The 26993-nt window shown below is 48.6% G+C and overlaps 1 protein-coding gene across 7 annotated transcripts, besides 3 other annotated features; it reads left to right on the forward strand.

The window, feature by feature from the left end:
• Positions 346-1256: an enhancer, noted in NCBI's record as "H3K4me1 hESC enhancer chr3:9745156-9746066 (GRCh37/hg19 assembly coordinates)". NCBI's record gives its function as "activates a minimal SCP1, AML or CMV promoter by ChIP-STARR-seq in naive H9 embryonic stem cells {active_cell/tissue: H9 hESC(naive)}" and the evidence as "EXISTENCE:reporter gene assay evidence [ECO:0000049][PMID:30033119]".
• On the forward strand, positions 707-26782 carry CPNE9 (copine family member 9). 7 transcript variants are annotated; one of them, NM_153635.3, is made up of 21 exons: positions 707-938; positions 1461-1501; positions 1623-1669; positions 1765-1868; positions 2338-2374; positions 2592-2594; positions 2861-2937; positions 9415-9478; positions 9599-9702; positions 9849-9953; positions 11788-11829; positions 12163-12238; positions 12347-12400; positions 12848-12909; positions 13932-13978; positions 14903-15084; positions 15349-15476; positions 22823-22925; positions 23539-23596; positions 23987-24060; positions 26381-26782. In NM_153635.3, the coding sequence occupies exons 1-21, from the start codon at positions 871-873 to the stop codon at positions 26564-26566; spliced, it is 1662 nt and encodes a 553-aa protein (NP_705899.2). In that variant the 5' UTR covers positions 707-870; the 3' UTR covers positions 26567-26782. The 7 variants fall into 7 exon arrangements, with proteins under 7 accessions (NP_705899.2, NP_001295317.1, XP_011531688.1 ...); NM_001308388.2 differs by lacking the exon at positions 26381-26782 and adding an exon at positions 24221-24324; XM_011533386.3 differs by lacking the exon at positions 707-938 and having other exon boundaries at positions 1047-1501.
• Positions 12660-12789: a silencer, noted in NCBI's record as "fragment chr3:9757470-9757599 (GRCh37/hg19 assembly coordinates)". NCBI's record gives its function as "represses an EF-1alpha promoter that drives an FKBP-Casp9 reporter gene in an ReSE screen in HepG2 liver carcinoma cells {active_cell/tissue: HepG2}" and the evidence as "EXISTENCE:reporter gene assay evidence [ECO:0000049][PMID:32094911]".
• Positions 24303-24352: an enhancer, noted in NCBI's record as "active region_19405". NCBI's record gives its function as "activates an Ori minimal core promoter by ATAC-STARR-seq in GM12878 lymphoblastoid cells {active_cell/tissue: GM12878}" and the evidence as "EXISTENCE:reporter gene assay evidence [ECO:0000049][PMID:35858748]".

Here is a 26993-nt window from a genome sequence, read left to right on the forward strand (position 1 = left end):
TAGCAATTGGTGTGCATGTGTGGTGGGTGAGAGCCTGGCTGACCACCACCCTCTTCTACAGTGTAACCTACAGTAGATTGCGTCATGAGAGTGTGTCCGCATCTGTAACGCCATGAAAGTCGTGAGGGTTAAAGGCATGGGCAGACAGCTTTGCACGGTGCTCAACAGCCACCATTTACTGTCATCATTGTGAATACCCAGAGGACAAATCATAAATACCAGTGAATGTTTACTGAGCACTTGCTGTGTGCTAAGTGTTTTCCTTGGGTTATCTCAGTAAAATTTTACAGCACCTAAAGTAGCTGCTGTTAAAGGCCTTTCTGACGGCCTTTCACGGTTGAGCCACAGAGATGTTGAGTAACTTGTCCAAGGTCACACAGCTACTAAGAGATGTACTTTTCCTATTCAGAGACCTAGGCAGGCTGGGAGTGGGAAAAGACAGAAACACTAAGGGAGTGGCTCAGTAAGAGGCAACAATTCCAGTGCCCACCAGGTGCCCCAAATGTTTCAGCATCATGGACAACTCTAGGGGGCTTGGGTTTCCACCCCAGAGACTTGCGCAGGGCAGACTCTACCAAGGTGTGGGTTGGAGTTGGGAGTCGGGGTGAGGTTCCCCGCTGGCTCCAGGCTGCTCCAATGGGGCGGGGGCCGCCCGCAGGGCCGGGCGGGGCTGTGCTGCCATCTGGAGCCGCTGCCGCCGGCGGCCACTGTCAGGGCGCGAGCGGCTGGAGCGCACGCAGGGCTGGAGCGAGTGCAGCCGCCGCCGCCGCCGACACCGCGGCACATGGGCCGGCCCCGCCGCTGCCGTCGCCCCTAGCCCCAGCAGCCCTGGTCTCGCAGCCTCCTGCGGCTCTGGTCGCCCGACCAGCCATGTCTCTCGGCGGAGCCTCCGAGCGCAGCGTCCCGGCCACCAAGATTGAAATTACCGTGTCCTGCCGGTGAGCGGGCCGCGCTGGGGAGGGCTTAGGCACTGGCACTGCCCCAGCCCCAGCCAGCCGCGGGGCTCAGCCTGGGCAGGGGCTAGACCCCCGGGGAGAGGCGAAATTGGCTGGAAAATCACAGCTGATGACAGGGCGAGTAGCTGGTGGGATCGAGAAGCGGGGGGTCTTGGGCAGCCCCACCCCGAAAAAAGGGCTCAGCCTGCGGGTTCAGGGGGTGGGTCGCAGATATCCGGTAGGAGCTCGGCCCCAGGAGGACAAAGTTCTGGGGCGAGCCCTCTTTCCTGGGCCCTTGGAGACAGTGTGGGTGCGTTCGCGTCCAGTCCGCAGAGCCATGGTTCCTGGACAGCGATTTCCGGTGCTGTCCAGAGTGCTGACAGAGCGGACCCCGGCTGGGGGTAGCCATGGGGGACAGAGGTTCGATGCGGGCCCCATGCCTCTCCTCAGTGCCCGGCTCAGAGCCGACTCGAGGCGGGCGGACTCCAGGATGATCCACTCTGTCTGTCTGTTGCTTTTCTCTAGGAACCTGCTAGACCTTGATACCTTCTCCAAGTCCGACCCCAGTAGGCGGCTCCAGGACCGGGAGGGGGAACTTGGGGTCTGGGCGCGACTCAGGGGCGGGTGGAGTCGGGGCCAGGGGTGGGAGCCGACCTGACGTCCTTCCCTCCCCGCCCCCACCTGCAGTGGTGGTGCTTTACACGCAGAGCCGGGCCAGCCAGGAGTGGCGGGAGGTGAGTCCCAGAGCCCCCTCCCGGCCCAGGGCGTCGCCCGGGAATTCCCCTGCCCGTCTGCACGTCCCACGCTGACCCTCCACCCCCCTACCCAGTTCGGACGGACCGAGGTGATTGATAACACGCTGAACCCAGACTTCGTGCGCAAATTCGTCCTCGACTATTTCTTTGAGGAAAAGCAAAATCTGCGCTTCGATGTGTGAGGCCCCGCCTGGAATTCTGGCTTGGCCCGCCCCCGACCTGGATCCGCCCGGAATTCTGGCTGGCCCCACCCCCGCCTCGCCTCCGGCCTGGTTCTTCTCGCAGGCCTCCCTCCCATTCTGAATGGCCCCCTCTAGCCTGAGCCCTGCCCTTTTATGAGATGCGGTCCAGTTCCGTCCCCCGCTCTGGCCCCGCCCACAACTCTGCTCCTATCGCAGCTCCACCTCAGGCCCGACCCCTTCCACACAACCCTGCCCCCAGCAGCCCCTGACTTGGCCTCGGCCCAGGCTTGACCGTCTGACTACTCAGCCCACCCTGACTCCTCCCCAAAAGGAGACCAAAGCTGAATTCGGGTCCACGGCCGCCCATCCCTCCACCCAAAATTTTCACCAAGACTCGGTGCCCGACCCCTTTCCACCCTCTCCCCCACCCAGCCCCACCCCACACCGGTTCCACTCTTTTCCCAGGTACAACGTGGACTCCAAAACCAACATCTCCAAACCGGTGAGCAAACGTTTCCTCGAGGGTTGGCGGAGCGCACAGGAGGCACTTAGATGTGTTCAACGACTCTCAGAACTCCTCCCAACCCTCGACCCAGACCCCATCTTCTTCAGGCCCCCAACCCACCCTCCTGGTCCCTCTCCTCCTGCCTGAGTGTCCTGCCTGTGCCCCCTACTCACTGTTCCTCTTCCTTCTTGGCTGCCACTGCTGGGACCTGCAGAAGGTGAGGCTGAATGGGGCTGGGCAGAGGTTGGGGGTGGGGGTGGTATTGTGGAGAACAGGCTTGGACTGATGACCCACTACAAGGCAGAGATTGCTCGCAGACCCCTTCTTTCACACCCCCTCCATTAAAGCCCATGTAGGGCCGTGGCTCTTGCACCACTCATTCGCCTGGGAACTGCCCTGGTCCTGTGCAGGAGCATCACTGGGGCTAGGCTGGGACTCAGCACTCAAGAGCTTCTGGTCTTGCTGACTCCTTGTCCTGCATAGGATTTCCTGGGACAAGCGTTCCTGGCCCTGGGAGAGGTGATTGGAGGCCAGGGCAGCCGAGTAGAGCGAACCCTCACGTAAGCTGAATAGGAAGGGGTGTGGGAGTGGGGTGGGGGCTTCCAAATTCTCCCTCCCAAGGATGCCGCTGACTGATAGAAGTGGAGGCTGGGGTTGCCCCTGGTCAGGAGCCTGCCCCGGCTCCCATCACCCTCGTAGAAAAGTCCAATTTCCAGTGCTCTGCCCGAGTCAGTATCAGGCCTGATATGTCTTTTCTTTTCTTTTTTTTTTTTCTCTCTCTCTCTCTGTTTCTCTCTCTCTCTCCTCACTCTTTTTCTAAGTCTGATTCAGCCTTTAAGGTCCACTTCCAAGCCCCTCTCCACAGGGAAGCTCCCCCGGACTAAGTCAAATCCTCAGGAATTACCATTACATCCACTCACTAAATATGCATTAGCATGTTTTATATCCCACACCCTGTTCTAGGCACCAGGGCTTCATTCATTCCACAAACACTATGTATACATACCCTATGTCAGCCACTGTTAAAGGGGATTAGCTTGCAATGGTGAACAAAACAAAGGTTCTTGTCCTCAGGGGGCTGATACTCTAGTTGTGTGGGGAGGACAGTACAAAATAGACATAAGTAAATTACATAATAGATTAGACAATATTAAGTGCTATGGGGAAAGAGACGAAGTAGAGCAGAATCAACGGAACTGGAAATAATGGGTGAGTGGGAGGTGCAGGATTCAACAGTGCGGTTGAGCAGGCCTCACGGACAGGTAACTTTGGAGCAACAACCTGAGGGAGGTAAGGTACAGACATGTGGAGGAAGAATGTTCCAGGCAGAGGAGACTGCCAGTGCAAAAGCCTGGTGCATTCAAAGAACAGCAAGGAGGCCAGCAAGACTGGAGCCAGGTGACTGGGAGGCAGGAGGAAGTGAGGTTGAAGAGCTAACAGGGCCTTGCAGCGGACTTCCACCTTTCCTCTGAAACGGGAGTCACTGGAGGGTTCTGAGCGGAGGAGTGACATGACATGGCGGCTTACAAAAGATGGTGCTAGCTGTGGGGTTAAGAATAAACCTTGGGGGCCAGGCGCGGTGGCTCACACCTGTAATCCCAGCACTTTGGGAGGCTGAGGCAGGCGGATCACGAGGTCAGGAGATCGAGACCATCCTGGCTAACACGGTGAAACCCTGTCTCTACTAAAAATACAAAAACTTAGCTAGGCATGGTGGTGGGTGCCTGTAGTCCCAGCTGCTTGGGAGGCTGAGGGAGGAGAATGGCGTGAACCTGGGAGGTGGAGCTTGCAGTGAGCTGAGATTGTGCCACTGCACTCCAGCCTGGGCAACAGAGCGAGATTCTGTCTCAAAAAAAAAAAAAAAAAAAAAAAGAATAAACCTTGGGTGGCCAAAGGTAGAAGCAGAGAGCCAATGAGAAGACTCTGACAGTAATCCAGGATGCTACCAGTGAAGGAGGGGAGAAGTGGTCAGATTCAGGATATATTTTAAAGGTGGAGCTAACAGGTTCCTGACAGATTGAATATGAATGTGAGAGGAAAAGAGGAGTTGAGGACAACACCAAGATCTTTGGCTTGAACAACAGGAAAGATGGAATTGACACAAACTGAGATAGTAGGGAAAAAAACAAAGGAAAGCCAGGCATGGTGGTGTGCACTTGTAGTCCCAGCTACTTGGGAGGCTGAGGTGGGAGGATCACTTGAGCCCAGGAGTTTAAACTCCTGGGCTCAAGCCTGGGTGACACCCCAAGCTGGGTGACAGAGTGAGACTGTCTGTGGACAAAAAAGACAAAAAAAAAAAAAAAAACGTGAAGGAGAAGCAAGTTGGAGGAGGAATTCAATCAAGAGTTCAATCTGACATGTTGAATTTTATGTTTTATAAACATATAAAATGTTAGACATCCAAGTGGAGGTATCAAATGAGTCTTGGATGTTGGTTTTGTTGTTGTTTTTTCAAGACAGGCTCTCACTCTGTAGCCCAGGCTGGAGCGCGATGGTGCAATGGTAGCTCACTGCAGCCTCCAGTTCCTGGGCTCAAGGAATACTCCCACTTAAACCTTCCAAGAAGCCAGGTAGCTGGAACTACAAGTGGATGCCAGCAGCCCCAGCTAATTTTTAAATTATTTTTTGTAGAAACAGGGGGCCTCATTGTGTTTTTCAGGCTGGTCTTGAACTCCTGACATCAAGTAGTCCTCCTGCCTTGGCCTCCCAAAGTGCTGGGATTATAGGCATGAGCCACTGAGCCCGGCCTTAGATGTTAACTTTAAAGCCATGCTATTAGATGAGATCACCAAAGGAGGGGAGGAAGGACGGGAGAAAAAGAGAGAAAGAGGGAGACGAGAGAGAGAGAACCAAAGGCCAAGGCTCCACAAATTGGACCTAGAAAAGAAGACTGAGAAGGAGCAATTAATGAAGTAGGAGAAGAACCAAGAGAGGGTGATGTCATGGAAGCAAAGAGAAGGGTTATCAAGAAGGAGAGAGTTACCAACCACATCAAATGCTGCTACAGCTCAAATAAGATGAAGATTGGGAATTGGCCATTGCATTTAGCAAGATGAAAATCCCTGTTGACTCTTAAGCACAGTTTTGAAGGAGAGGTGGAGGTGAAGACAATGGAAGAGCGGGAAAGGAGTCAAGGAATCTTTTTTTTGAGACGGAGTCTCGCTCTGTCACCCAGCTGGAGTGCAGTGGGGAGATCTCGGCTCACTGCAAGCTCCGCCTCCCGGGTTCACGCCATTCTCCTGCCTCAGCCTCCGGAGTAGCTGGGACTACAGGCACCCGCCACCATGCCCGGCTAATTTTTTTTGTATTTTTAGTAGAGATGGGGTTTCACCGTGTTAGCCAGGTTGGTCTCGATCTCCTGACCTCATGATCCGCCCGCCTCGGCCTCCCAAAGTACTGGGATTACAGGCGTGAGCCACCGCACCCGGCCCAAGTCAAGGAAACTTTCAAGGAGTTTTACAGCAAAGGGGAGAAAAGAAAAGATGTGTGACCAGGGGCGGTGGTTCACACCTGTAATCCCAGCACTTTGGGAGGCCGAGGTGGGTGGCTCACTTGAGGTCCAGAGTTCCAGACCAGCCTGGCCAAAATAGTGAAATCCCATCTCTACTAAAAATACAAAAAACTTAGCTGGGAGTGGTGGCGCACGCTTGTAATCCCAGCTACTCAGAAGGCTGAGGCAGTAAAATCGCCTGAACCCGGGAGGCGGAGGTTGCAGTGAGCCGAGATCACGCTACTGCACTCCAGCCTGGGCAACAGAGGGAGACTCCATCTCAAAAAAAAAAAAACAAAGAAAAAAGAAAGAAAAGAAAAGAAAAAGAGATGTGGCTGAAGCAGGAAGAGAGGTCAAGAATAAGTTTATAATTTTTTTTTTTTTTTTTGAGACAGAGTCTCACTCTGTCGCCCAGGCTGGAGTGCAGTGGTGTGGTGTGATCTTGGCCCACTGCAACCTCTGCTGCCCGGGTTCAAGCGATTCTCCTGCCTCAGCCTCCCGAGTAGCTTGGATTACAGGCGCCTGCCACCGCGCCCAGCCAATTTTTGTAGTTTTTAGTAGAGACGGGGTTTCGCCACCGTGGCCAGGCTGGTCTTGAACGCCTTACCTCGTGATCCACCCACCTTGGCCTCCCAAAGTGCTGGGATTACAGACGTGAGCTGCCACGCCTAGCCAAGTTTATAATTTTTTAACATAAGGCTGGGTGAGGTGGCTCACACCTGTAATCCGAGCACTTTAGGAGGCCGAGGCCTCCTAAAGGTGGAGGCAGGTGTATCACCTGAGGTCAGGAGTTCAAGACCAGCCTGGCCAACATGGCGAAACTCTGTCTCTACTAAAAATACAAAAATTAACTGGGCATGGTGGAGCGTGCCTGTAATCCCAGCTACTAGGGAGGATGAGGCAGGAGAATCACTTGAACCCAGGTGGCAAAGGTTGCAGTGAGCCGAGATCACACCATTGCACTCCAGCCTGGGCGACAAAGCAAGACTCCATCTCAAAAAAAAAAAAAAAAGAAAAAAAAAATTTAACATGAGATAAATTATACTACATTGGCCGGGCATAGTGTAATCCCAGCTACTCTGGAGGCTGAGGTGAGAGAATCACTTGAGCCCAGTTCAGGATCAGCCTGGGCAACATAGTGAGACTCCATCTCTACAAAAAAAAAGGGAAAATTATACTACATTTACATATTGATGGGAATGACCAAGTAGAAACTGAAAACTTGATGTAATAAAAAGAGGTGAGCATTACTGAAGTGATGTTCTCGTGCAGACAAGACAGTATGAAATATAGTACACAGTGGAGGGATAAATAGGCACAAAGACACTTCATTTATAGCAACTGTAGGAGTCACACTTGTGTGGGTGAAGATACTGGTGGCAAGGTAGGTGTGGTGGTGGGTGGACATTCTCTTCTGGTTGCTTCAATTTTGTTCAGTGAGTAGGAAACAAGGTCATTGGCTGAGAATGAGGATGGGGGAGGAGGCTTTAGGGGTTGAGGAGAAAGAAGGAGTGAAACTGCCATCTACCAGAACTGGAGAGTGAAGGGCCTTGGGATGTACAGTATGACTCTGAGGTAGCAATAAGGACCCTCTTGAAGTCTGCATCATGCATTTGAAATGAGACAAGTTCGCATAATTGTGTTTTTGTCTGGCCATGTTCAGTTTCACAGGTGCAGTGTGGGTTAGGCAGAGTGAGGCTTAACTAGAGCTGTGGTTCTGCCAAGTAAATATATCGAAAGTGAGAGAAAAGATTGGGCCAGTGGCTCACGCCTGTAATCAAAGCACTTTGGGAGGCTGAGGCAGGAGGATCTCTTGAGGCCAGGAGTTCAAGACCAGTCTGGGTAACATAGCCAGACCTTGTCTCTAAAAAAGTAAAAATTTTAAAATTAGCCAGGTGTAGTGTGTGCACTTGTAGTCTCGGCTACTTGAGAGGCTGATGTGGGAGGATCTCTTGAGTCCAGGAATTTGAGGCTGCAGTGAGCTATGATTGTGCCACTGTACTCCAGCCTGGGTAATAGTGAGACCCCAACTCTTAAAAAAAAGTGAGAGAAGGGAAAAAAGAGACAGGATGCAAGGGAATGATTATTATAATCACTGACTGGAATTCACACTGGATGGATGAGGTGGTAAGGGAGAACATCAAAGAGGCAAAGAACAGTGAGGAGGCAACAGGATCAACAATTTGTTGGTCCTGGATGTGCAAGCGAATTATTTATTTATTTTTTTGAGACAGAGTCTTACTCTGTCACCCAGGCTGGAGTGCAAGGGCTTGATCTCAGCTCACTGCAAACTCTGCTTCCCGGGTTCAAGCGATTCTCCTCCCTCAGCCTCCCGAGTAGCTGGCATTACAGGCGCCCGCCACCACGCCCAGCTAATTTTTTCTTTTTTTTTTTTGCAGTTTTAGAAGAGATGGGGTTTCACCATGTTGGTCAGGCTGGTCTCGAGCTCCCGACCTCAGGTGATCCGCCCGCCTAGGCCTCCCAAAGTGCTGGGATTATAGGCGTGAGCCATCGCGCCCAGCCGTAGGCGAATAGAACCTATTCTCATCACACTCCCTCTTTGCAAAGCACAAAGAGTCAAAGATCAAAGGAGCCAAAGAAATAGTTCAACTCTCATTCTAAGGATAGGGAAAATCACATAGCAAGTTAGAGCCAGGACTGGAACCCAGGACCCTCCTGACCTAGTTTTCTCTCTGCCACATTTTGGATCCCTTTGGGAATCAGGGTTCACAGGCCCCTATCAACAAGGTCTCTTACTGCTGGGGATGGGGGTTCTCGTATGCACCATTCAAGCACATGGAAGTGTTCCTTCTAGGGTCAGGAAAGGATAAAGTTTCCCTTGTCTTTTAAATCTCCCTCTCCATGGTCTTCAGAAAGCACATCAGCTTTGACCTAACAAGCTAGCCCTTTTGTCCCTGGGTCTGGACAGAAATTCTTCTCCCTCATTCAGTATCACTACAATCCACTCTACTTACCTATTGGCATTGACATTCCACCTACCCCCGCCCCCAAAGCTCCCTGCGGGCAGTCTAGCAGAGCCGGAGAGAGCCAGTTGCCCAATTCATATCTATCACAGCACCCAGCATATAGTAAGAACCAGAGTCAGCTTTGAAGACTACAACCAGCTCATATCTATAAGGCTTACGAGTTGCTTTTCCTTCCATGCACTCATTCAGATCTGTTCACAGCCCTGACAAGTCATCATGATTCCCATTTCATAGAGAAAAAGACTAAGGCCGAGGAAGGGTAAATAACTTGCCCAGGGTCACACAGCTTAACAATCATAAAATCCACTGGCTCTAAATCCCATGTCTTTCTCATGCTACTGTTGTGAGATGTTCACCTAAGCTGTTCTAACCCCTTTTCACCAGACTGCAGACCCCACCCAGTCAAAGTGAGGCCCTTCCTCACCAGAAGGCACTCAAGACACAAGGGACTGTCAGTAAATGGCAAACTGAATCCCCTGGCCCACCTAACCCCAGACTGGCCACTCAATCCTTGTTGCCTACCCTCCCTCCTCTCACTAAGAGGCTTTTTCTGCTTCCAGGGGTGTACCAGGCAAGAAGTGTGGGACCATATTGCTGACTGCAGAAGAGCTTAGCAATTGTCGGGTCAGTAAGGGCCACATGCTAGACCCAGGAGCTCCCTTCTCTCCCCGTAAACCCTTTAATGGACTGTCTGAAGGCTATGGACAATTGGGGTGCCACCAGCCCAACTTCATCCATCCCTAGGACATTGCCACCATGCAGCTGTGTGCAAACAAGCTGGACAAGAAGGACTTCTTTGGGAAATCAGACCCCTTCCTTGTGTTCTACAGGAGCAATGAGGATGGCACGTGAGTCACTGCCATCAGGGCTGTTAGGCTGGGGTGGGCCATGTGCTTAACAAGTGGGGGAATCTCAGGAATCTCTGAGAGCATCTGGATTCAGTCCTACCCCGGGCACGAGATAAATTATACCAATTCTTCCCACTCCCCTCCAGGTTCACCATCTGCCACAAGACAGAGGTTGTGAAAAACACGCTGAATCCTGTGTGGCAGCCCTTCAGCATCCCTGTGCGGGCTCTGTGCAATGGAGACTATGACAGGTTGGCTCCAGCATAAGCTGGGGAGTAAGGAGCCAAGGACATGCCAGTGTGGTTCCTGGGCCCAAGAATGATAGTAGAAGTATCATAATAGCGTTGGAGGGTCCTGCTCAGTGAGACAGAGTTTGGGGCATGAGGTTGGGTGGATGGACAGGCAGATGGATAGCCACACAGATGGATAGGTGGACTATCCAGGGATGGATCGACTGATGGATGGAATGGTAGGTGGATGGGTAGATGAAAAGGCAGATGAACAAATGAATAAGCAGATACATGGATGGATCGTTGGATGGGTAAACTGGTGAATGGTTGGATATGTATGTGGATGGATATATGAGTGAATTGATGGGTGGGTAGAGGGGCAGATAAATGAATGGACAGCAGAAGAATGGATAATTGGACTGATGGGTGGGTTTGTGGATATACAGGTGATGGGTGATTAACGGATGAATGAGCTGATGGATGGGTGGGTGATAAATTGGTAAATGAGAGTTTGATGGATGACTGGGGAGGCAGGAGGATGAATAGAAAAGCAGGTGGAATACAAAAAGATAGGTAGAGTGACAAGTGGATTGATGGTTGGATAGATGAATAGATGGCAAATGGATGAACGGATGGATTTGTAGGTGAATTAGTTGATGGATGGGTATAAATTAGATGGATAGGCCAACCAAATGAATGAGTAAATGGGTAGTATAAAGACAGATGGTAGGGGCCGGGCGCGGTGGCTCACACATGTAATCCCAGCACTTTGGGAGGCCGAGACGGGCAGATCACGAGGTCAGGAGATCGAGACCATCCTGGCTAACACGGTGAAACCCCATCTCTACTAAAAATACAAAAAAAATTAGCCGGGCGTGGTGGTGGGCGCCTGTAGTTCCAGCTACTCAGGAGGCTGAGGCAGGAGAATGGCATGAACCTGGGAAGTGGAGCTTACAGTGAGCCGAGATCACGCCACTGCACTCCAGCCTGGGCGACAGAGCAAGACTCCGTCTCAATAAATAAATAAATAAATAAATAATAAAGATAGGTGGTAGGTGGAAGGGTGGAAGAATGGATGGGCACATAGATGAGTAGATGAATGGTTATGCTGATGAATGGATAACCAGATGGATAGATGTTATATAGTTGGTAGACAGACAGACAGATGGATGCTTGCATGCCTCAGTGAGTCAGTGAATGGCTAGATGTATAGTTAGGTGGCTAAAGAGATGAACTGATAGGTAATTGGACTGGCAAATATATGGGTAAATAGGTAGCTAGATGGATAGACGGATGGTTGGATGGGCTGATATACTGATAGGTAGACATATGGAATGATTTAGGCATGACAGTTAAGAACAAAGTCTTTGGAATCAGGATGCCTGGGTTTAAATCTCAGTTCAGTCATTTACTAGCTATGAGATCTTAGCCAAATTACTTTTTTTTTTTTGTATCTCAATTTCCTTATCCCAAAATAATAATAATAGTAATTACTTTATATAGGGTGATTGTTAAGTTAAATGAGACAATCTGTGAATGTGCTGAGAAAAATGCCTGGAATACAATAAGGCTCAAAGTGGTAAAAAAAAAAAAAAAAAAAAAAAAAAAAACCAACCAAACAAACAAAAAAAGTATTAGTGGTACTAACCAGAGTAGTATTAATAGGGGTAGGTGGTTGGGTACAGGCACAGACTGATGAATGAATAGACAGGATGGGAGGCAGGTTGAAAGATGAACAACTTAATGGGAAGACAGATGGGTGGATGGGGAGATGATATGTGTGTGGTTAAGTGTATGAGGGTGTCTCTGGGATTTATCATACACACCTAGGGTATGTTTATCTCCTACATTTCAGAACGGTGAAGATTGATGTGTACGACTGGGACCGGGATGGAAGGTAGAACTGCCCCACATGGTCCCTTCTCCTGTACTTGACCCAAGCAGTTCTCAATAATATGTTGTACATTCACTGAGAACCCCAAAGTAGCTTTAGGAGCCAGGAAAGGTGATGATAAACACCAGTGTCTTGGGTACAACTGATCCCCCCAATTGTCTCTCTGGACACTGTCTCTTCCCGTTTTTCCCCTATGTTTGGCCTCCCTTATGGCCCCAGCACTAGGCTGCCCTGCAGCCTAAGTAGGGGCTTAGGATAGGAGGAATAAAAGACTGGGTTCAGCTCTGGTTCCAAACCAGCAGCACCTGCTGCTTAGCCACGCCCACCTCATTGCAGCCACGATTTCATTGGTGAGTTCACCACCAGCTACCGGGAGCTGAGCAAGGCCCAGAACCAGTTCACAGTATATGAGGTGAGCATTCCAGCCCTGCCCAGGTCACCCAGGCCCTCCATCCCAGTGTGCTCAGTCTGGACCTCCCTTCCTTTGTTTCTCATCATCACTGTTACCTCCTCCCCTTAGGTTCTTAACCCTCGGAAGAAATGTAAGAAGAAGAAATATGTCAACTCAGGAACTGTGAGTGCTCCCTAGAGCCGTGGCCCTCCCTGGATCCTTCCGTGTCTGTCCCCATTGACACAGCATGGCAAATATCGAGGGCAGGGCAAGACAGTGGGCACAGATTACTTGGAATAGTAATATTGGGCACAAGGAGCACCACTTAAGTTTTTCTTTGTTTTTTTTCTCACTCAGGAAATTTTTCTGACTTCACTCTTTTGCAGAATAAAAGAAAAAAACCTAAGTTGTATTTCCCAATTTAATATACTTTTGGAAATCCAACGATGTTTCTGACAGCTTCCCCTTTTCCCCTGTCAGAAGTTGAACAGGGTGGGACTGACTGGGGGAGCGGGTGGAATCATGTGCCTCCCATCACGTGCCTCTTTCCAAGCCCCTATGGGCCTCACTTCCTTCTGCCACCCCAACTGCCTTTTCCAAAGTGCCAGGGCTGCCTATTCTGTCCCACAGGTGACGCTGCTCTCCTTCTCTGTGGACTCTGAATTCACTTTTGTTGATTACATCAAGGGAGGGTGAGTCACAGGCCAAGCTCTGGGCTGAAAGCCCGGCAATAAATTACTCCCAGTTCTGAGCCCCAGGTTTCTTATTTATGAATGGTCAGGGCCCAGTGAGACCATGGAGATAAACTTTAAAACACTTGGCCAACTATAAAGTGCTCTGTAAAATGCAAAATACTGCTCTTCTTAGTTCCCTTCATGGGGCTGCTTTTCATTCTTAGCTTTCGACTCCTCCTGGGAAGATGGCTCCCAGACCAGTGGTCTTCACTGGTGGCCCCAGTAACCTAATTGGGGCACAAATAAAGTTATAGTCAGGCAAGAGGGAGAGGTAGAAGAGAGGGCACAACCAAGCAGACTATAGGGGACATTCTGTTTGGTTTGGTGGAGGCAGGCAGACCTGGGAAAGGTAACTTTGCTTCTCTGAACTTCACTTTTCTCCTATGTAAAATGAGGATTTTTTTTTTTTTGAGATGGCGTTTCACTCTTGTTGCCCAGGCTGAAGTGCAATGGTGCGATCTTGGCTCACTGCAACCTCCGCCTCCCAGGTTCAAGCAATTCTCCTGCCTCAGCCTCCCAAGTAGCTGGGATTACAGGCATGCGCCACCACGCCCGGCTAATTTTTTGTATTTTTAGTAGAGATGCGGTTTCCCCATGTTGGTCAGGCTGGTCTCAAACTCCCGACCTCAGGTGATCCACCCTCCTCAGCCTCCCAAAGTGCTGATTACAGGCGTGAGCCACGGCGCCCAGCCAAATGGGGATATTAATCACTACTTCAGGGCTATAGTAAGGGTTAAATTAAATGACATATAATACACCTGCCACACAGTAGGCATTTAATTCTGTTACCTAAAGTGTAGTCCATGAGCCAGCAGCATCAGCATTACTTGGGAGTTTGTTAGGCTCTACCCAGACCATCTGGATCAGAATCTGCATTTTAACATGAGCCCCACGTGATCCATATGCACATTACTGTTTGAGAAATAGTGATGTAATAATCATTAGTTCCTCACTTCTCAATTCATCTGCTTCCCCAACAGGACACAGCTGAACTTCACAGTAGCCATTGACTTCACGGCTTCCAATGGTGAGACACGGATGAGTGAAAAAGTCGGAGGTGGGAAGGCACTTCTAAGGGAGTCATTAGGAGTTGGCCTGGATTCCTACCTAGAGATAAGAGTTTACCTACCCAAGAAGCCCAAACTTAGGCAAAACCCAGCCAGGAAAATAGAGTGCAGAAAAATAGATGGGTAGATGGATCATAGAGGGTTGAAAGGATATATAGCTCAACAGGTGGATGAGTAGGCTGATGGATGAGAGAGAAAGGGGGTATAAGGAGAGATGGAGAGGTGAACAGGTGGTGAGTCATGAATGGATGCATAGATCCATGAACAAATGGAGTGGGTACATGGGTTGGTGAGTATAATAGGTTAGACAAGTAGATGCATCGATGGGTATGTGGGTGGACAAATGGACTAAAGTTTAAGTTGGGGAAATAACAAGTAATTAGGGGAAATGCATGAGTGGATAGATCCATATGAGAATAGACAAGGGAATGAATGGAATGGAGAGGGCTGGCTAGCCGGATGGATAAAATAATACTGTTGTATAGATGGGTGGAAAATGAAGAAAAATGGCAAGTAGACAAGTGGGTGGATGGATGGATGGATGGATGGACTGATGGATGGATGAGTGGGTAAGTGGATAGCTGCATAAGAGAATGGAGAGATTGGTGGATAAAGATGTATAAGTAGACTGAAAGATAGATGTATGGCTAGGTAGATGGGTGGATGGATGTGTGGGTAGGTAGGTAAATGGATGAATAGATATAGGGATGGGTGGGTGGATAGATGGATAAATGAACAAATGGATGATTGGGTAAAATAAGGAGGGAGGACATGGGTAGAGGGCAGATAAATGGATATAGGTGGATGAATGCACACAAAGATAAGCAGGTGAACAGATGGATGATCCAGATGATCATGAGGCTGGGGTTCCTGTGTCCCTACAGGGAATCCTCTGCAGCCTACCTCCCTGCACTACATGAGTCCCTACCAGCTCAGCGCCTATGCCATGGCCCTCAAGGCAGTGGGAGAGATCATCCAGGACTATGACAGTGATAAGCTCTTCCCAGCTTATGGCTTTGGGGCCAAGCTGCCCCCAGAGGGACGGATCTCCCACCAGTTCCCCCTGGTATGGTATTGGCCAGAGCTTACCCTCCGTGCCCTGGCATCTGGTTCACCCAAGTTGATGATTTTGTTCTGTTTACATTACTTCAAAGGGCATGTAGAGGAACAGGAAGCTATGAGAGGATAGCAGAGCAGGGAGGGGAGCAGGGCTGGGTTTGGAGGGGAGCATGAAAGGGACTGATGGAAAAAGGAAGGAGTGAGCTGGAATCAGAGCACTCCTGCATGTACCCTGCATGGGCTCAGCCTGGCAGGGCATATTCTTTGACAGAACAACAATGATGAGGACCCCAACTGTGCGGGCATCGAGGGTGTGCTGGAGAGCTATTTCCAGAGCCTGCGCACAGTGCAGCTCTATGGGCCCACCTACTTTGCTCCTGTCATCAACCAAGTGGCCAGGTAAGGGAACTGGGTGGAAGCTGGGGGAAATGAGGGGACCCACATAAGGGATTGACCCCCCAAGGATAGTCAGGAGCACTCTAAGTAATTTAGGATGATTTGAAGTAAACAGGAGAGGCCAGGCATGGTGGCTCATACCTGTAATCCCAACACTTTGGGAGACTGAGGCAGGAGGATCACTTGAGCCTAGGAGTTCAAGACCAACTTAGGCAATTTAGTGAGACCCCATCTCTTTTTTTTTTTTTTTTTTTTTGAGACAGAGTCTTGCTCTGTTGCCATGCTGGAGTGCAGTGGCATGGTCTCGGCTCACTGCAACCTCCGCCTCCCAGATTCAAGCAATTCTCCTGCCTCAGCCTCCCAAATAGCAGGGATTACTGGCGCATGCCACCACACTTGGCTCGTTTTTGTGTTTTTAGTAGAGACGGGGTTTCACCATGTTGGCCAGGCTGGTCTTGAACTCCCAACCTCAAGTGATCCACCTGCCTCAGCCTCCCAAAGTGCTGGGATTACAAGCATATGCCACCATGCCTGGCTCATTTTTTTAAATTAAATATTTAAATTAAAAAAATTAAAGTATACAGGACGATGTGTATAGGTTATATGCAAATACTACACCATTTTATATGACGGACTTGAATATCTGAGGAGTTTGGTATCCACAGGAGTCTTGGAACCAATCCCCCGTGGATACTGAGGGATGACTGTACCTTATTATGCGGCACAAAGGGTGTCAGCAAATTACCCTAACCCCACTGCCTGAGAATGACAAGCTGGGGCTTGAGTTTGGGTAAGAGAGAGAAGAGCCTACAGCACTGTGGTGAAGGCGTACGTTTTAGCATCAGATCTGAGTGGGATCCTTCCTCCACCATTCACTAACCATCTGACCTTAAGCAACTTCGCCTCTTTAAGCATCCATTTCATCCCTGTAAGGTGGTGTCATAATGGATGACAATAGCAGCTTCCTTATAGAGTTATTGCAAGGTTAAAATTAGATAATAGTGTAACAAGTATTAGCACAGTGTCTGGCCCATGGTACATGCTCCATAAATGATAAGTTAAAAACTAGATGAGTGACTGTCCAAATTTTCAGAATAAAACTATACAAAGCAGGCCAGGTGTGGTGGCTCACACCTGTAATCCCAGCACTTTGGGAGGCCGAGGTGGGTGAATCATGAGGTCAGGAGTTCAAGACCAGCCTGGCCAAGATGGTGAAACCCCGTCTCTACTGAAAATACAAAAATTAGCCAGGCGTGGTGGTGGGCACCTGTAATCCCAGCTACTTGGGAGGCTGAGGCAGAGAATTGCTTGAACCTGGGAGGCAGAGGGTGCAGTGAGCCGAGATCACACCACTGCACTCCAACCTGGGCGACAGAGCAAGACTCTGTCTCAAAAAAATATATATATATACATATATATATATATGCACACACACACACAAACCAAAGAAAACCCAGATCATACATCAAATGGCTTAAAAAACCAGAGGGTATTAAAATAAACTTAAAACGAATTTATGAAATGACAGAACTAAAATCAAACATATGTCAATAAACATAAATAAGCTCTGTTTGACCTTAAAAAAGAAAAAGATTATTTGATTGAACAAAAAATAAGCAAACCCCACTTTATAGTAAACAGAAGAAACCCAGCTAACACAAAGCCCCTCAGAAAGCTCAGAAGTAAAAAGATTAAACAAAAAGGGAATAAAAGTGAAAGGATTTCAGTGAGATTTATATGTCCATAGACTTTTTCCCCTAGCGAAGATTTGTTTTTTTTTTAACTTTCCTTTTAAGTTCAGGGGTACATGTGCAGGTTTGTTACATAACAAACTTGAGACATGTGACACATGGGGGTTTGTTGTACAGATTATTTCATCACTCAGGTATTAATTCTAGTAGATTTATTTTCTAATTTGCAGTAATGATAATAGATTCTTTAATCATAACCGTAGAAAGTTTCAATAGAGAAATGAAGAAATCACCCTGAATACTGCCCATGGAATGTGGATGTATATACAGTTCTTTTCCTTATGTATCCATAATTATAGTCAAATTATTATACATATAACATTTCACTACTGATTTTTTTTTCACTAATACTGGAACCTGAGCATGTTTTTGTTGTTATTAAGCTGACTTCTTAAATATTATCTTATGCAACTACACTAATTCAAAATTTATTCATTCATTTAGTAAACATTCAGTAAAGGGGCAATGCACCATTGAGTGTGGTGTCCGGAGCCAGACTAGCCAAGTTAACACTCTGGTTCTATCACTCACTAGCTGTGGCTTTGGTCAAGATTCTTAACCTCTCTGCGCCTTATTCCTCATTTGTAAAATGAGGAAAGTAACAATGTCTACTTCATAGGGTTGTTGTGAGGACTAACTAATTAATATATGTCAAGCACCTAGAACAGTGCCTGCCACATCATAAATACTATAGGTGTTCGCTATTACTGTTACTATTATTATCATTATTACTATCCAAAAGGCATCTGCTGTGTGCTCAGTTCTCTGCTGGGGCACTGAAGATTCACAGATGAATCAGATCTAGTCCCTCCCCTTGGGAGCTCCCGCCTTGGTGCAGGAGACAGAAATATAAATAAATCATTACCTTCTGTAGACCAGAGCTTCCCAGACTTTTCTAGCAAGTCGCCTGTCAGCAAAGGCAAGCGACAGCGTCCCTCTGGGGGAATCTGGGGGCATAGCTGAAAGCAGTCAGGCTGAAAATGTCTTTGAAGTTTCCGTATTTCATCTTAAAAATTCATGCAAATTTTATATTCTTCTCACATTGCATCCCTGTTTAATTTAGAGAAAAAAGGTGTTTTAAGTACTTATAGTCTTATGTACTTATAGTCATCTAGCTTTATCCAGCAGATCATGCAGTGAGAACCCACTTAGAGGAGCAGACAGCCCATCTTGGTGGGTGGAGCAGTATCCTAGAGGGAGGGGGTAGGGCATAGGCTCCAGTACCATAAAGGGGACTGCTCAGCTGGGTCTAGAGGACGAGGTAGACTTTATGAGAGAAACAGAAGCAGAGTAGGCCTGGTAGAAGGAATGGCATATGAAAAACAGAGGCATGAAGGGGCAAGTTCATGAAACAGTGAAGAGTTTAATATGACTAGAGTGCGCACTGTGTACAGAGGACTATCCAGATAATGGACTGGGGATAGAGAGTGAGAGAATCAAGAGCTCCAGCTTCAGGCTCAGCTGGTCAGGCATGGGCTTGGACCCCAGCTTCATAACCCCTTGGGGATGTTACTTAATGTCTCTAAGCTTCAGGTTCCTCATTTTAAACATAGGAACTGTTTTTTGTTTTTAGTTTTTTTTTTTTTGAGATGGAGTCTTACTCTGTCACCCAGGCTGGAGTGCAGTGGCACGATCTCAGCTCACTGCAACCTCTGCCCCTGGGTTCAAGCAGTTCTCCTGCCTCAGCCTCATGAGCAGCTGGGATTACAGGTGCGCACCACCATGCCCGGCTAATTTTTGTATTCTAGAAGAGACGGAATTTCGCCATGTTGGCCAGGCTGGTCTCGAACTCCTGACCTCAGGTGATCCACCCCCCCCCGCCACCCGGCCTCCCAAAGTGCTGGGATTACAGGCATGAGCCACTGTCCCCGGCCATAAAAATAGGAACTTTTAAAGCGCCTACCTTATAGAATGGCGGTGAGGATTAAATTAGATCATGTATGTCAAGTGTACATCTGTGATTTTGATGATCACAATGGACTCTGCTGTTTCCCACTCTACAGCCAAGTGAGGCATAGACTGGCCTCCTCTGGCCACTCACCCATTTTCTCAGCTAACTTCCAGATAAAAACAGCCTTGAGAATGCAAGGCATCTACAGAGAACCAAAGATGTACCTCCTGTGCCCCCAAACCCTTCCATGATGCCCATTGTCTTCTACAGTTCTTTTTTTTTTTTAAGAGACAGGTTCTCACTGTGTCACTCAGGCTGGAGTGTAGTGGTACCATTACAGCTCACAGCAGCTTTGAACTCCTGGGCTCAAGCGATCCTCCCTCCCACCTCAGCCTTCCAAGTAGCTAAGACCACAGGTGCATGTCACCACGCCAGGCTAATTTTATTATTTTTTCGTAGAGACAGGGTCTCGCTATGTTGCCCAGCTTGTCTCAAACTCCTAGGCTCAAGGGATCCTCTGATCTCAGCCTCCCAAAGCATTGGGATCTTAGATGTGAGCCACCAGGTCCAGCCTCTCCGCTGTAGTTCTACATGTAACTCCTCGTGGTTTGCACTTGCCATTCTCTTTCTCTGGAACACTTTTCCCTTTACCTTCCCACCACCATCACCACCTGGCTAAACCCAACCCATTTTTCAGGTACTTAGGTTAGATGTTACATCCTCAAAGCCCTAACCTCAATACACTTTAGTAGTTTAATCCTCTCTCTCCCCAAGGACAATATCCTATTCTGCTCCATGCTCAGCACCCAGCGTGGTGCCTGATACACAGTAGGTATGCAATTGCTATTTATGAAATGAGTAAGTGACAGGAAAAGGTACCAAGCCAGGTCTCTGAGGAGGCTGGGGCCAGAACTCAGGAAGTGGGTAGGGGATGTAAAGGAGAATCATGGCTGGCCACAGTGGCTCATGCCTGTAATCCCAGCACTTTGGGAGGCCGAGGCGGGCGGATCACTTGAGGTCAGGAGTTCAAGACCAGCATGGACAACATGGTGAAACCCCGTCTCTACTAGCAATATAAAAATTAGCCGGGCATGGTGGTGGGCGCCTGTAATCCCAGCTATTCAGGAGACTGAGGCAGGAGAATCCCTTGAACCCAGGAGGCAGAGGTTGCAGTGAGCTGAGATTGTGCCATTGCACTCCAGCCTGGGCAACAGAGCGAGACTCTGTCTCAAAAAAAAAAAGAAAAAAACCAGGATCATGACCCACTCCCACTCTGGGCCCTGGGCAAACTGAGCCAAAATTATTTTATTTTATTATTTTACTTTTATTTTTATTTCAGTTGGGGTCTTACTCTGTCTCCCAGACTGGAGTGCAGTGGTGCCATCATGGCTCACTGGGCTCATGCAATCCTCCTGACTCAGCCTCCTGAGTAGCTGAGAGTATAGGCACGCGCCACCAAGCCCAGCTAATTTTAAATTTTTTCGTAGAGACCAGGTCTCACTATGTTGCCCACGCTGTTCTCAAACTCTTGGCCTCAAGTGATCCTCCTGCCTCAGCCTCCCAAAGTGCTTGGATTACAGGCGTGAGCCACCCCACCTGTCCCCAAAGCTATTTTATAATTCTACACCCTCTCCATGCCTTTCCTCACATTTTGAGATCAGGTTTCAATACAGTACTGTCCAATAGCACTTTCTGCAATGATGGAAAAGTTCTGTATCTGTGCAGGCCAATATGGTACTCACCAACCACATGTGGATATGGGGCACTTGAAAGTAGCTAGGGTGGCCAAGGAACTGAATGTTTAACTCTATTTAATTAATTTAAATTTCAATAGCCAAGGCTACCTTATTGGACAGCCACAGCTCCATCCTTTCCAGTCCGCACAGGACTGGAGACTGGAAGTCAAGAGACCAGGGTCTCCCACTACCTTTGTGCCCTCTCTAGGTCTTTTTTTTTTTTTTTTTGAATATGCAAAATAAAGGGACTGGACTCAATGACTTCTGAAGTCCTTTTCAGGTGGAAAAAAAATCTTGGCTTCAAAGACTAGTGAGAGAAGGAAAAGGAGCTCTGGAAGCAGCTGTTAGATTGGCAGGGGGAGGACTGCATGGGGCCCAGCAGCCCAGGCGATGAGATGTGGCTGGCAGAGGGGAGAAGGGAGAGAGAAGAAATGTGGGGGAGAAGGAAGCAAGGAAGCCTTCAGCCTTTGCTCTCGCTCATATATAAACATCAAAATCTTGCCAGGGGTTGATAAATCCCTGAGCGGTCTAAGCTCTGTGCTTCTTCAGCCACGTGGCCCACTCTGCTTCCCTCAATTTCTGACCTCCACACAGGGGAGTTGTTCTTTAGTCCCACTATAGCGCCTTTTTCCTTGCTGTTCCCCCTTCCTAGAAAGATCCTCCTCTTTCATTTAGCCTTTCTATCCTCAAACATCACTTCCTTAAAGAAACCTTCACTTACCTGCTGGGTCACATCAGGATCCTATCTATCTATCTATCTATCTATCTATCTATCTATCTATCTATCTATCTATCTGAGACGGAGTCTCGCTCTTGTCACCCAGGCTGGAATGCAGTGGTGTGATCTCGGCTCACTGCAACCTCTGCCTGCTGGGTTCAAGCGGTTCTCCTGCCTCAGCCTCCCGAGTAGCTGGGATTACAGGCACCCACCACCACGCCTGGCTAGTTTTTGTATTTTTCATAGAGACAGGGTTTCACCATATTGGCCAGGCTGGTCTCCAACCCCTGGCCTCAAGTGATCCGCCCACCTCGGCCTCCCAAAGTGCTGGGATTACAGGCATGAACCACTGCACCTGGCCAGGATCCCCTCTGGTACCGTCATAGCAGTGTCCCTTCCATCACAGCACTCATCACAGTGGTGATTTTACACTATTTTTGTGTGATTCCTGGATTAATGTCTGCCTCACTCCAGAGGGCTGGGATGGATTTATTTTTTCTCCTCATGTATCTCCAGTGTCTACCATAGTAAGTGCTCAATAAATATTACTGAAGGCAGACCAGGCACGGTGGCTCATGCCTGTGCTCCCAGCACTTTGAGAGGCTGAGGCAGGCGAATCACTTGAGGTCAGGAGTTTGAGACCAGCCTGGCCAACATGGTGAAACCTCATCTCTACTAAAAATATAAAAAGTAGCCAGGTGTGGTGGCTCACACCCGTAGTCCCAGCTACTCAGGAGGCTGAGGCAGGAGGATCACCTGAGCCCGGGAGGTGGAGGTTGCAGTGAGCCGAGATCACACCACTGCACTCCAGCCTGGGCAACAGGGTAAGACTCTGTCTCAAAAACAAAACAAAACAAAAAATGTGTGTGTATGGATATATATATATATGTGTATATATATGTGTATATGTATGTGTATACATGTGTATATATATGTATATACATGTATGTGTATATATGTGTATATATGTATATATATGTGTATATATATATACATATATGTGTATATATGTGTATATATGTGTATATGTATATATTTCATATATATGTATATATGTGTGTGTATATATATGGATATATACACATATATATATGCAGGCAGTGGCAGGCTGCCAGGTCTGGGGAAGGAGCATGGGTTTCAGAAGCCCCAGTTCCTGCCCACTGCCCACACACTGGCTGTGGAAGCTCTGGGGGTAAGGTGTTCCCTTGGCCTGTCTGGCTTTCAGCTGGATTCTCATTTGGCCTCTCATCCAGGGCTGCAGCCAAGATCTCTGATGGCTCCCAGTACTATGTTCTGCTCATCATCACTGATGGGGTCATCTCTGACATGACGCAGACCAAGGAGGCCATCGTCAGCGTGAGTCTGAGGAGGAGGGCTTGGCAGGGAGGAGTAATGTCAATACTGTGAAGGGGCTGAGATTTTATCCTACTTGCAAGCTAACAAGTTAGCCTGCCAGTTTCATGGATGCTGGCAGAAGACACAAGACTCTTGGATTAGAGATAGAGGACTTTGATTTCCAGCAAAAGCAGTAGCTGGAGTATTAGCATTTGCTTGAATTCTCTAAGTCCCAGTTCCCACTGGATGATGTGAAGAGGGACAGATGATGCTTGCAGCCACTGTGGGTTGCGTTACAGAAGAGGAACCCTGAGCTTAGGGAACTTGAGTCTTTTATAATGGACAGTAAGCATGCTTGCCTTTTGTTCCAAAGGTCTCCAGGGAGACCTTTTTTTAAAACTATATTGGACAGTATGCAAATATGCCCTCTGCTCTAGAGGAAAATACTATATCTTTCAAGGCTGCTTGATATAGAAACATCCTTGAAAAAGTAGTCTGGGGCAGAGAAAATCAAGGTGCCTCTGCTTACAAGATGTGCAGAACCATGACACACATACACAGAGAACTGTCTCCCAACAGTCACCTCCCTAGTGATGCCTGCTTGCCCCAACAGTTCACCCTCTTTCCCCTACAGGCCTCCTCATTGCCCATGTCTATCATTATCGTCGGTGTAGGACCAGCCATGTTTGAGGGTGAGTAGGAAGGGGTGTCCCTGAGTGGGACTAAGAACTAAGGAGAAAAGTGGGAGGGGGTCGGGTACTTGGGCCTGCCTCACAGATGACACAAGGTAGACACCCCCGTGTGAAGCCTTGGTCAAGTCACAGACCTTCTCTGAACCTGTTTCCTTATCAGAACCAAGGCTGATGATACTAATACTTCCCTCTGGGGTTCCTGGGAGGATGGACTGCCTGGGAGGCATAATAATAGTAATAATAACTCCATAACGAAGACTGATATTTGTAGGACTTGATCACAAGCATTAGGCATTCTCCTGATGACTCCAAAGGGGAGCTCAAAGGGAGGGGGCAGCATGGGGTGGGGCTGGAGAGGCCAATCAGCTGAGGGGTGTGTCTTTTCTGCAGCAATGGAAGAGTTGGACGGTGATGATGTGCGCGTGTCCTCTAGGGGACGCTACGCAGAGCGGGACATCGTTCAGGTAGACCTGACGTGGGAGAGGCTGTGGAGCTGAGAGGCACAGTGAGAAGAGGCTAAGTTGGGAGCCACTTTCACTTACTGCCTTCTCAGTCTCCTACTTTTTTCCCCCGTCACTCTTTCATCCTTTCTCATTCATTGAATACATCCTTTTTGACAAACAGGAAGGTTGCTGCAGCCTTGGCACATCCGTGGTGTAGGTCGGGAGGTCCCCAAGGCCCCTGCCCTCTAGTGGAGACAACCAACAATAAATAATCACACAAAGAAATATCTCATTAGATTGTGATAAGTACTCCAGAGGAATAGCAAATGCCACTGTGAGAGCCTGTAACAGGGACCTAACATAGGTACAGTAGTCAGGAAAGGGTTCTTTAGCTTGCCAAGACCTAAGGGAGGGGATAAGCATTACAGGGAGAGGAGCAGCATGTGAGAAGGCTCTGAGGCCCAGAAGAACTGGCCCGATCCACGAAAAAGCAGAAGCTAGGGTAGCAGGATCACACTGAGTGTGAGGAGGGAGGCAAAATTTGGGGGTATGTTAGAATTGGAAAGCTCTTGAAGGATTTTACATAGAGGAGTGAGATGGCATTTTAAAAGGATCTCTCTAGCTGCTGCATGGTGGGTGGACAGTAACAGGGCAAGAGAAAAGGCAGGTAGACTCATTAGTGAGGAAGCCTTTGAAGTAGTAGAGGGGAGGCGATAAAGATCTGGCTAGAAGCAGTGGGGAGGGAGAGAAAGTGGCAGGTTCAAAAGATATTTAAGAAGAAAATTTTACAAGACTTGATGATTAGATGATGACAGGGAGTGAGGAGGGCTTCAAGGATGACTCAGTATTCTAGCTTAAGCAACTGGGTGAGTGACATCCCATTTGCTGGGAAGGGGAAAGCTAGAGGAGGAGATTTGGCAGAAAGAGCTAGAATTCAGTTGTGAACACACTGGGTTCGAAGTATCTGTGACAATTGAATGGAGTGGTAATATGGGCAACTAAATATGTGGTTCTAGACCTTAAAAAGAGGTCAGGGATGGGCCCAAGCATGGCGGCTCATGCCTATAATCCCAACACTTTGGTAGGCCAAGGCAGGAGGGCCTCTTGAGACCAGGAGTTTGAGACCAGCCTGGACAACATAGCAAGACCTGATCTCTGCTACATTAAAAAAATAAAGGCCGGGCGCGGTGGCTCACGCTTGTAATCCCAGCACTTTGGGAGGCTGAGGCGGGCGGATTGCCTGAGGTCAGGAGTTCGAAACCAGCCTGACCAACATGGAGAAACCCCGTCTCTACTAAAAATATAAAATTAGCCGGGTGTGGTGGTGCATGTCTGTAATCCCAGCTACTTGGGAGGCTGAGGCAGGAGAATCACTTGAACCCGGGAGGCAGAGATTGCAGTGAGCCGAGATCGCACCATTGCTCTCCAGCCTGGGCAACAAGAGTGAAACTCTGTCTCAAAAGAAAAAAATAAAATAAATAAAAATAAAACATAATTTTTTGAAAAGAGGTCATGGATGGATATATACATTTGGCAGTCATTAGAAACAGATTTTCTTTTGTTTTTTTTCTCCCTTATCAGCCCCTCTCCCCCCACATCTCATTTCTTCTCCTCTCCCTAAGTCCCTCTCCTAGGCCTCTCTCTCTTCCCAGCCCCTTCTCACAGACTCCTCCTCCTTCTTGCCCCAGCTCCATCTCTCTGACCTCCTCCTGTTCTCAGGATCCCTTCTCTCTGGTCCCTGCCCCTTGTCTCCCCTGCTCCCTCCTTTCCAGTCTCCCTCCCCACCTCCTGGCCTGCTCTACTTCCTTCCAGGGAACAATTTTTAAAGTCATGGAAGTGTATGAAATCATCCAGGAAGAGAGCTGAGAGAGAGAAGGGACCAGGTTTAGAGAGCAGATAGACCCAGAGGAATGGTGGTGGGAGGGGGGAGCTTCAAGAAAGGTAAGCAAGAAGCCAGAAGAGTGTGGTATCAAGAGTGGGACGTGTCCAGAAGAATTATGGTCAAATGTAATGGAAAGCTAAAGAGAAGTCAAGCAAGATGAGGACTAAAAATTACTGTTCACTGGACTGATTTAGCAACACAGGGCCACTGACGACATCAGCAAAAGCAGTTTCAATGGCCTGTGTGAAGCCAAACTGGAGTGGGTTGAGGGTGAATAAAAGGTGGAAAAAAAAGTGGGTGGAGAGAAAGCAAATGTAGAAAACTGTTCAAGATGTGGAGAGGGAGATACTGTGATAGTTGGAAAGAGATGCTGGGGATCAAAAAAGAAGCCTCCCTGCTGCACCCCCATGCCCTCTCTCCTGGTCATGGCTTATCTCTTCTTGTCTGTGCCTGACCCAGTTCGTCCCATTCCGAGACTATGTTGACCGGTCGGGGAACCAGGTGTTGAGCATGGCCCGACTGGCCAAGGATGTGCTGGCCGAGATCCCGGAGCAGCTGCTGTCCTATATGCGCACCAGAGACATCCAGCCTCGGCCCCCACCCCCTGCCAACCCCAGCCCGATCCCAGCTCCAGAGCAGCCCTGAGGATTCCACATATCCAATGCCTCACAGTCTGCAAGCCTGCTCACCCACTGCTTCTGCTTTAAGCCAGAGGCACCTGGAACCCTGGACTTCACTGGGAGGGCCAACTTGGAGGATCAGTGCTGGCTGACAAGCCCTCCGCCTCCTTGCCTGCAGAGGGCCTGGCACTATCACCACCTCTCTGCCTTCATGCCAATAATAAAGCTGATCTTTATTCCACCTCTGTCTCATGCATGTTGGCGAAGGAAGACTATGGGACCCAACGACTGGGGCCACATCAAGAGGGAGGGAACCAGGATGGCTTCAGTTAGATTCATCCCCATCCTAACACGTTCATCCAATCACTTCTTCATACATTCTTCAAAGACCTTAATAAGTGAAACTTTGTATGTTTTTCCTCAGGAGAGAGGCCCATAGTTGTTTTTTTTCT

The sequence above is a fragment of the Homo sapiens genome, chromosome 3 (genome assembly GCF_000001405.40).
Source record: "Homo sapiens chromosome 3, GRCh38.p14 Primary Assembly".
Lineage (NCBI taxonomy): Eukaryota > Metazoa > Chordata > Mammalia > Primates > Hominidae > Homo > Homo sapiens.